Raw genomic sequence first — 10,978 nt, forward strand, 5'->3', positions numbered from 1 at the left:
ATTTAGGTAGTAAGACCAGTGAACTCCATGAGCAATGAACAATTGTACTTTTTTTTTTTTTTTTTTGTAAAATGGTTTCCAGAAGTCATATTGTAAGGAATACCATGCTACTGAATAAGGCCTCCTGTGAACCCATAGATGGTATTGGGAGATTTATTGCAGGCATTGAGGACCAATGCATATCCTCAGTAAGTGCTTAATTTGCTCCTTCTGTGATGGAAGGAGCTCACTATTGTCTACCTACCACAAAACAGCTGGCTGGTCTCCTCTGGGAAATGTGCCCTATCAGTGACTCAGTGTTGGCCTCTGCTGTTGGCTGGTTGGGCACCCAGCAGTGGCTATAGTCAGATCAGCCTTGTTAAGGGAAGTCTCTGTTATTGAAGTCCCTGTTATGATTGACTCTATCCCTACTGCTATGGTCACTTTGTATGCAATCAAGTACCACGATGGGTGAGAAAAGAGGCTGTACCGAATATCTTCTTTTTGCTCCCCTCTCCACTGTACTCTGAGTTATGAGTAGTTGCATGTGAGATTCTGCAGTTGCTAGGTATGTCTACCTCAACTATCCAGAGATATATCCAGAGACAGAGGATATAACCACAGGATGGGGCTGCGAGCCCACTGGGCCCACTGTGACATAGTCTCAGCCCCAAACTCCATTAACCCCCTGACCTCTATAAGCCCCCATTCTGAATGAATGATGGATCACAGTGATTTTTCCCAGGGATTAGCATCAACTCAAATTTGATTAGCATCAACTCAAATCTATGAATTCCCCCAAATTTGGATACTTGTCTTTTCCCAGTGCACAGTCATCCTGGTAAAGGACTGCAGATCTCACGGGGTAGGTTTGAAGGACGATTTCTAGTACAAGCAGGCAGTGTTTTCAGATCCTTCCTGATAAAACCCATACTCCTGGCTGGGCACGGTGACTCACACCTGTAATCCCAGCACTTCAGGAGGCCAAGGCAGGTGGATCACCTGAGGTCCGGAGTTCGAGACTAGCCAGGCCAACATAGTGAAACCCCATCTGTACTAAAAATACAAAAATTAGCCGGGCATGTTGGCCGGTGCCTGTAATCCTAGCTACTTGGGAGGCTGAGACAGGAGAATTGCTTGAACCCAGGAGGCAGAGGTTGCAGAGAGCCAAGATCGTGCCATTGCACTCCAGCCTGAGTGACAAGAGCAAAATTCCGTTTCAACAAAGAAAAGAAAAAAAGAAAAAAAACCCCACTCTCCCTTTCAAAGGGTCCCAAGCTGTCGAATTGGCTTAGATCTGGGAAATGTGAGAGGCTATGAATTCCTTTTGCAGTGATCAGGTAAGGTTTCAGCTCCTCACTTCTAGAATATTTCTGATGGTATAGATCAAATGTGTTAGTATGCTGCCATCTATTTCATTCCTAAGAACACTTTGTTCAGTTAGCCACCACCACAGATCCCTTGGTGTCAAAATACTCTCATTGTCACTGTGTACCTGTTGCTGCTCATTCTGGTAATTGCATCCAGTTTGTTTCTGATAGTTAAGAGCTTTCACCTGGCCTAGGTCATGCCAGGATCCAATTATTCCCACTCAAGTTGTGGAGCTCATCCCAATGGCAGCATCTTCCAGCATCCTACCCAGTCAACAAAGAACAGCCACCACCAGGTTTTTCCAAGATGCTGGTGCACCTTTTGCTAATGCATTTTCTCAGTGAAGTAGCAAATAAGGAAAATAGGGAAAGGGCGAGTGAGTTTCATAGAATTAATCTACTCCAACATTCTCGTACCCCTAAGCTTTTAAAATTTCTTCTTCCACATTTTGAAGGGAAGTTCTGGTATGTTAACTTCATTGAAGGTAGGCCTCTACTGAATACAAGTTTAAGCCAATCAACCAAGGACACTGCTAAGCCATTTCCCACTTACGTACCCCAAATCTTATATACTGAATAAGTGCACCCTTAGATAAATTTGGCTTGATTCAGTGTTAAATTCCATTCTCTTTGGTCTAGCACCCTAAAAACTATCTTTAGGCTAGGCATGGTGGCTCATGCCTGTAATCCCAGCACTTTGGGAGGCCGAGGCCAGTGGATCACCTGAGGTCAGGAGTTTGAAACCAGCCTGGCCAACATGGTGAAACCCTGTCTTTACTAAAAATACAAAATTAGCCGGGCGTGGTGGCACATGCCCGTAATCCCGCCTACGTGGGAGGCTGAGGCAGGAGAACTGCTTGAACCTGGGAGGTGGAGGTTACAGTGAGCTGAGATTGCGCCATTGCACTCCAGCCTGGGCAACAAGAACGAAACTCCATCTCAAAAAAAAAAAAAAAAAAAAGAAACTATCTTTAAACATTTTACCTGGGCTCATTCTGATGAAAATTGGCAAGATTTGACAATTCTTTTGGTATATAGGCTATCTGCACCTGGATCAGATTGCAATTCTCCCCCACAGCATGCTGTGATCTGACTCTATTTCTGGGTCTGTAAGCAATGACAGATGAAAGATAGGAAAGATTGGTGATCAAGTCACACAGGATGGCTCTTCCTCTCCCTAGTAAACATGGGATACCCTGTCATTGAAGGAGGTATGCCAGCAAAGTCCCAGGTTCTGTTCAACCTTTACTGTATCCCTGGACTAAAGCAATGTATGCTGGTCTTGTTTTACATTCCAGACTGGATAATGTGTGCCTCACAGGCTGTTCTCACAAATGGCCTCTTCTGTCTGTTTTGAGTACATATTATCTGTGCTCTGGGGTACAGAGTACTCTAGGGTTCACCCTTGGTCATTCCTAATTATCTATAGTGCAACCTACAAAGTCAGTGACCAGCCTCACTGGCCCTGTGGTTGAAACAGAGTGCCGACAGAGTGAAGTCCCCAGGCAAACCCGGGGATCAGAGTTGCAGGAGGAGGCACTAAGAGATAAGGGTCAACTTGTACAAGATTGATCCCCTTGCAGGATGCTGTTTAGAAAATGAGTTGGCTTCCTGAAAAGTTTTATGGAAATTGATTATTGCTCAGTGCATAAGACAATGGCCAATGGTAAGTATTGGACCTAAGCTCCCCCATCCTAATGATGTCAGGGAATGGATTGGTGCTCCCCTAACTGTGAATGTTAAGGTATTGAGTTAGGCAACCAACTCACCATATCACATAGCTTCCAGGCTTGGACTCCAGCCTCTACTCATTTCATACCAGAAGATGAGAGGATAGTGCTGAACTGGAAGAACAGAGCTAGATCTGTGTTTCTGCTCTGTCATATTGCTGTTGTGTTGCAGGCTCTGATGATACCTCATGGGGGATGGGGGTTTGGAGTAGGGGGCTATTGCTTCCTTAATAATGAGCAGCAAAAAGGCCTCATAGCCCAAGGGTTGGGGTCCTTCCCCCACAGACTGACACAGCCAGAAGTCTCTGTGCTGCCCCAGAATGTATGGAAAATGGGACAATCTACATTCCTAAGATTTCTGTTTCTGTGAATCTTCTCCTATGAATGCAACTATATGTGTGCTGTGTGGTCATTTTTCCTTGTTTGCTCAACACTCATAGGGCTTCTTGTCTGATTTGTGTATTGCTTGGTTAGAGTTATTTTTCAAGCATTGTTCTCAGATCAAATACAAGGGTAATATATTATCTGTGTTCCTGCATATAACTTTATTTCCTGGTTAGCCAATTGTTTTGTTTTGTTTTTGTTCTTTGTCTATGTAAAGTAGCATGTCAGCCCTTTCCTCACAGTAATGGGTAGATGTTATTGTACTAATTTCTTTTTTTTAAATTTTTTTAAAATTTTTATTTGAGACAGAGTCTCACTCTGTCGCCCAGGCTGGAGTGCAGTGGCGCGATCTCGGCTCACTGCAAGCTCTGCCTCCCAGGTTCACGCTATTCTCCTGTCTCAGCCTCCCCTAGTAGCTGGGACTACAGGTGCCCCCCACCACGCCAGGCTAATTTTTTGTATTTTTAGTAGAGACGGGGTTTCACTGTGTTAGCCAGGATGGTCTCGATCTCCTGACCTCGTGTTCCACCCGCCTCGGCCTCCCAAAGTGCTGGGATTACAGGCGTGAGCCACTGCGCCTGGCCTCTACTAATTTCTAGCTTCTAACATTGTAGATTTGAAGTCAAATGACAGATTGTCTTTCTTCCTTTATGAGTAAATTTTTTTTCTGCCTCGAAGTTTTTATGAGTTTTTCATCATTCTTGAAGTTTTAAGTTTACAAGAGCGTGCCCAGCAATGTGTGTTTTCTTGTTAAAACCATCTGGAATTCAGTGAGCCCTTACAGTCTGCAGATGCGTATGTTTCTTCAGCTCAAGGTAATTTTCTTCTTCTATGTTTAATTATTTTCTTTTTTCCATTATTTCATTTTATTCCCCTGTGGATTGCCTATTACTCACATGTTGGATCTTCTGGATCTATCCTTCAAATCCTTTATCATTTCCCTAATGATTTTCATCTCTTTGTAATTTTGTTCTTTGCTTCAAGATCTCTTTCACTTGAACTTCAGGCCAGTAACCTGAATTTCAACTTTAAACATCTCTTTTAATTGAGACGCTGAGTTCCTAGTTCATTCATGCTATTCATGAAACTCTTTTAAGAGTTCTTATTATACTTTTAACTCTCTTCCAGTCACTCTCTTTTAATAAGGGATTCTTCTGAGTATTCATCTTCTCCTTGGCTGCTAGACCTAATATATTGTCCTTCCTCCCAGTGGTCTATTGACCTTTGAGAACCATGGTTTACACAGGAACTGTGGATCAGATTCTAGCATTGGTGTTCTCTAGTGTAGGTTCTTAGGCTCTCATCTGGCTGAGAAATAAGAATTTCCTACAGCAGCTCCCTCCCTCAGGGAGTTGTGTTCATTATTGGGCCCAGTGCTTCACCCCTCCCCATATCCATGCCCTTTTAACTTTGTAATACCCTCCCATTCTGGATGAGATGATCTGCCTTGGGATTTTGTTCTGGTCTCAGCCATGTGATTTGATATGACCAATGGGATGTTTTTCAACCAGGGGCTTGAAAAAGTGCTTGCACATTTCCACTCACTGTCTGGTTCCTCTGCCTTCACGATGGGAACATCCTAGGCTAACCTGTGGAAGGATAACATTTGGACCTACCAGAAGTGTGTCATTCAGTTGTCCCTCCAAATGACTTTCTATCTCATTTCAAGGTGTTCATAAAGTCTGAAAACATAGGCTCATATATATAACACTATCCAGGACATCTTCAATCTGTAAAAAATAAAATAACATAATTATTTACATTTCCAGGCTTCATGGACAGTCTTGTAGAACAAAAGCCAAAATCCTAATGATGATCTACGAGAGGCTCTACATGATTTCCTGCTCTCCCCACCTCTCTGACCCCCTGTTCTTTCCCTTGTGCATTCTGCCCCAGGCACACTAGGCTCCTTTTTGTGTGCCTGAAATGCCTTCGCCCTTTACCCAAATATCTCCAGTGAAGTGGTTTGAATATTGGTCTTCCCAAATCTCATGTTGAAATGTAATCCCCAGTATTGGAGATGGGGCCAGGTTGGAGGTGTTTGGGTTACTGGGGTGATTCCCTCATGAATGGCTTAACACCATCTCCTTGGTGATGAGTGAGTTCTCACTCTGAGTTCATGTGAGGTCTGGTTGTTTGAAAGAGTGTGGTACTTCCCCCCATGACTCTCTTGTTCTCTTCATGTGACATGCCTTACTCCTGGTCACCTTCTGCCACAATTATAAGCTTCCTGAGGCCTCACTAGAAGCAGATGCCAGCACCATGCTTCCGGTAAAGCCTGCAGAACTGTGACCAGTTATACCTCTTTTCGTTATAAAGCACCCAGCATCAGGTATTTCTTTATAGCAATGCAAGAATGGGCTAACACACACACATCCCTCGATTTTCTCATGCCTCCTCAAAGGTCACTTTTCCTCATCACATTACTTACTCCCCTCTAGTACTCTGTATTCTTTTACTCTGTTTTATCTTTTTCCAAAGCACTTATCATAATCTAACATACTTTTTGTTTTACTTATCTATTTCCTTTATTTTCTCTCTTCCTCACTAGATTGTAAATCCTGTAAAAGTAGGGATTTTTGTCTGTTGTGTTAACTCCTGATGCAGGATTTTTCTCAGTCCCTTTGCCAGTCAAGGACCTCTGGCTGGTGATGCCCCTGCCTGGGCCTTGCTCAGGGCATGCTACCTGCTGCAGGAGATGGCCTGCTCACTTGGCCCGTCTGGGCCAAGTCTTGCTTGCACATCAGTTCCCGAGTTCTTGTCTCACATCCAGGAAGAATGAGAATATGTTGACAACTGAAAAGTGAGCAAGGCGGGGAGTTTTCTTGAGTGTTGAAATAGCTTTCAGGGGTGAGGAGATGTGGGGGTTGTCCTCCTACCTTAAGACAGGAAAGTGCCCTGTATATGGCTGAGTCCAGGGCTTTTATGGGATCAGAATGGGGAGGTGCAGGCCATAGGTAGTATTGGGAAAGGCAATATTTGATTGGTTAAAATGCACTATTCAGAAAGAATCAATTGGGAAAGGGCAGGCAAACAGAAATAGAAGTTCTCTGGGTTGTGGATTTCATTTGTAACCAGCAGTCTGGTCTTTCAGCCTTCAGGCTGTTTCTGGCTTGAAGGTGGTTTCACTGGGGACCCACCCCTATCTGCCTGGGCATTTGGCTTCCTCCTGTTGCCATCACTTCTATAGCTCTAATACCTATATCATACTGGTAAATGTTACTGGATTGAATAAAACCATCAACACTTATTTTATTATAATTATTTGCTTTTAGAGACAAAGTCTCACTGTGTTGCCTAGGCTGCAGTGCGGTGACTATTCACAGGTGTGATAATGGCACAGAACAGCTTTGAACACTTGGGCTCAAGTGATCCTCCCTCTTGCCTCAGCCTCCCAAGTAGCTGGGATTATAGGTGTGCATCTGGCTTGCAATCAACGTTTTAAAGCATTATCTTTGGCATAGAGACAAATGCTTATTTTATTTGTTGTGACAGAACAAGCATTCTGTTCATCTAAAAGTTGTATCATGTCATTTAAGTTCAAATGAAGTCTAAGCGTAGCTGGAGAGAGTTGATGGTTTTAAATAAATTGTATTTAATCTGTTAAGGGCCTATTACATTTCCACTCACAATGGATTCTTACAGTGGTAGATATGATGTGAATTTTGAATAAATTCAATTTTTTTTTGTAAAATAAAAGATAATTATATCTCAATATAACCCTTAAAAATTCTTAAACATTCTCAACAGATTTCTCATTAAATTAAAACAGAATATAGTTTTGGCTATTAGTATAATGTGATCATGGGTTGTTCTGAGGCTTTAGTTTAGTAAAATAACCTCCTGATATATTTCAAAGAGCAAGTTAATTCAACTCTTTCCTCACGTTACAAATTGTTAAATATATGTACACACTTATTCCAATTAGCCATGAGAAATACTTAGAGAATATTGATAAAATACACAAAAATCTCCTTTTTCCATTTAATGCTGCATGTCATTAACTATTCTTTATAAATATGGTTGTAATTGTAACAATTCCATATGGCTTTTCTACAATTTAGTTTTATAGTCTCCTGTTACAAAATTTGTAGATTGTTTTCTATTTTTCTGTTTTTTTTTTTTTTTTGAGGCAGAGTCTCGCTCTGTCCTCCAGGCTGGAGTGCAATGGCACGATCTTGGCTCACTGCAATCTCTGCCTCCCGGGTTCAAGCAATTCTCCTGTCTCAGCCTCCTGAGTAGCTGGGATTACAGGCACCCGCCACCACACCTTGCTAATTTTTTTTTTTTTTTGTATTTTAAGTAGAGATGGGGTTCCACCATCTTGGCCAGGCTGGTCTTGAACTCCTAACCTCATGATCCACCCATCTCTACCTCCCAAAGTGCTGGGATTACAGGCGGGAGCCACCACACCCGGCCTATTTTTTTCTGTTATAAATAAGACTTTGATGATCATCCTAGGACATAATTCTTTGAATGTATCTCTGTTATATATATATTTTGGCTAGAGTCCTAGGTATAGAATTAATTAATCAAATGATATAAGCATTTAAAATTTTCTTGCTCCATAATTGTCACATTTTGCAGAAAGGTTGCATCACTTTTTACTTCTATTAGCAATATGTTAGTGCATCTCATCCTTCTCATATCAGCACTGAATTTTTTTATTGTGGTAAAATATACCATAAACATATGGTAACATAATGTTTACCATTTTAGCCATTTTTAAGTGTACAGTTCTGTGACATTAAGTGTATTCACATTGTTGTGCAACCATCATCACCATGCATCTCCAGAACTTTTTCCTCTTCCTAAACTGAAACTCTGTCCACATGAAACACTAACTTTCTCTTCTCCCCACGACCACAGGCAACACCCTTCTACTTTCTGTCTGTATGAATTTAACTACTCTAGGTACCTCATATGGGTGGAATCACATCTCTCCTTTTGTGATGGGTTTATTTAATTAATTGCCTTCAAGGTTTATCCACGTTATGGCATCTGTCAGAATTTCCTTCCTTTTTAGGGTTGAATAATATTTCATTGTATGTATATAGCACATTTTGTTTTTCCATTCATCTTTCAATGGAGACTGGGGTTGCTTTCACCTTTTGGCTATTCAGCATTGAATTTTAAAAAGACTCTACCCTAGTTTTAATTGTATTTATTTGATTTATTGTAATACTGAACACATACACACACAAACACACAGATTTTGCCCCTGAGTAGCTATTTGTATTTTAAAATTGATTATGCTAAATTTGTCACTCACTTTAGTAGGTATTGTCTGTAAGCAACATAGGAATGTATTAAGCTAAGAACATATCATTTATGTTTATATCCAGGGAGAAAAGTTTTAATATCTTGTCATATATCCTTTTTTTGTTTTGTTTTGTTTTTGCAATTAGCTACAGTTGCCTTTAGGTGGCATTAGATCCTTGGGCATGTGTTACAGAGATTTTTGCTTATTGGATGTGTGTATGTATGTTTTGACAGCTTGATGGATTTAAAAGCTGATCCAAATGTTATTTGAGGTCTAGAATGAAATATAAATTAATATAGAAGCTAGGCATCCTGAGACCTCTTTCATTATGCAACTACATGTTGACTAAATGATGTCTTCCTTTTTTTTTCTACAACAAATATTCTCCAGTTCTTTGCCTTGGATTAGATACTTTTAGAACAAAAATCTTAAAAATGTTCTGAAGTTCAATGTGAGGTTCTAAGCAAAATGGAGACTATTGTTTGGCCCAAATTTTGTAAAAGTTTGGATTGAAAGGGAGTTCTTTCATGTATGTAAGAAATCCCTTATACCTATTTTTCTGAATCAACACTTCAGACATCAGCATTTACCATGGTTGGCATAATGGAAGCTTAAGCCAAATATTTAGCAATAAAGGATGTGGAGAAATTGCCATCTGTATGGATTCCGGTATTTGGAATCATACATATTATCATTCATATTATCACTTTTTTGCTACTTCATTCAGAATTCATGTTTCTGAAAGACACTATTAAAAAAATTCTCAAGGCACTTTGGTTCCTTTAAAAGATGCCTTCCTTTCAGGAAAAGAGAGTCAGATTTTAGCACATTTTACTTGGTTGTCATGGGTTTGACTGGGGCTTGGGGGGTCAAGGGATTTGCCTGGGGTCTCAGGTTGGTGACTTTGTGGCTAGCCTCCTCTACACTGTGTTGGAATCAGCTGGCTCCAAGATCCTTGTTCTGTCTTCCCACTAGACCACATTGTCTTCCAAATGAAACCACAGTAGTGCTGAAAGCAGGAAGGAAACTCTTCAACTCACTTGTTTTATAAAAACTTCTTTTAAGGCAAGGACAGGGAACAGTAAGAATAGCCTTATTCACAGGCGAGTGACTTGAGCCATCTCTGCCTTTTGAATGTTAGCTTTTTCTTTAATAAATTACTCCTGAAAATACTGTTTGTAAAGATCAATGAAATACTTCCTATATATGTTAGTGATAGTTTTTCTTTTCAAGAAAACGTGTTGTTATCATGTCTAGGGTAGAGAGCTAACGAACTTTGAAAACCCATTATGTGGCAGGTGACTTACACTTGTTATCTCAAATAATATTCACAGTAACCCACAATAACATTGCAAATAAGCACGACTAATTCCATTTTATTGGAACAGAACTGGAAGTTCAGAGAGAGTTTTCTTCAAAAAGAAAAACTTGTTTAAATTCCCACAACTAGTAAATGAGAGAATCAAGATGATGGTCCATTCCTATTGAATGCATGTGGAAATAGGAAGAATTTTTTTAAGTTTGAGACATATTTCTTTGCCTATCCCAGATTGACATCTTTTGAATCCATATAAAATTTCACAACTTTTCTTAATAGTCTCAGATTACAATTAATGAATTTTAGATGCAGTTCACAAATTTTTTCTTTTCTATAGTTATATCTTAACCATAATCAGCAGCATCTTATAATTTTTCACTGAATTTGTAATTAGTCTATGTAGGGGGTCGAGGGATATGGGGCTGATCAAGGAACAGGATGTCCACAAGAGAGGCAGTGACAAGTTTGTTGGTGCTTGGCCAGGGTTGCATGAGAGGAGAAGTCCCTCACAGCCTTACTGGTGAGGGAGGAGGACAAGGGAGAGAGAGATTGGAGAGGAAGCTTACATAGAGTCTCTGGGTCAGAGAGCCCAGCTTGGCTTGAGGCCTTATAACTACACGGCCCTGTCTTATGAATAGGTAACAGCTGCTGGGTGAGATTTTGCGGGGTATGCAAAGCAGACAGGCTCTAAGCAGCTAAACTTTTCTTGGTCAGGCTATTTTTAAAATAACTGGATGTGTAAAAATTTAAGTTTGGTGTCAGTGGGCTTTTGAGCTAATGGGTCTCAGCCTGCAGTGGAGAAACAACCAACTTTGAGGCTAATATACAGAGGCTATCTTTGGCTGATTTATGTAACAGTCTATCCCAAGGCACTAGAAGTATTTAACTGTTTTGGGAAAAGATAATAGCTTTTGATCATAGAAAGTATGTGATT

The 10,978-nt window shown here is 40.6% G+C and overlaps 1 annotated feature.

Annotated features, from left to right (window-relative positions):
* Positions 10,670-10,759: an enhancer, noted in NCBI's record as "active region_21964". NCBI's record gives its function as "activates an Ori minimal core promoter by ATAC-STARR-seq in GM12878 lymphoblastoid cells {active_cell/tissue: GM12878}" and the evidence as "EXISTENCE:reporter gene assay evidence [ECO:0000049][PMID:35858748]".

The sequence above is a fragment of the Homo sapiens genome, chromosome 4, assembly GCF_000001405.40.
Source record: "Homo sapiens chromosome 4, GRCh38.p14 Primary Assembly".
Lineage (NCBI taxonomy): Eukaryota > Metazoa > Chordata > Mammalia > Primates > Hominidae > Homo > Homo sapiens.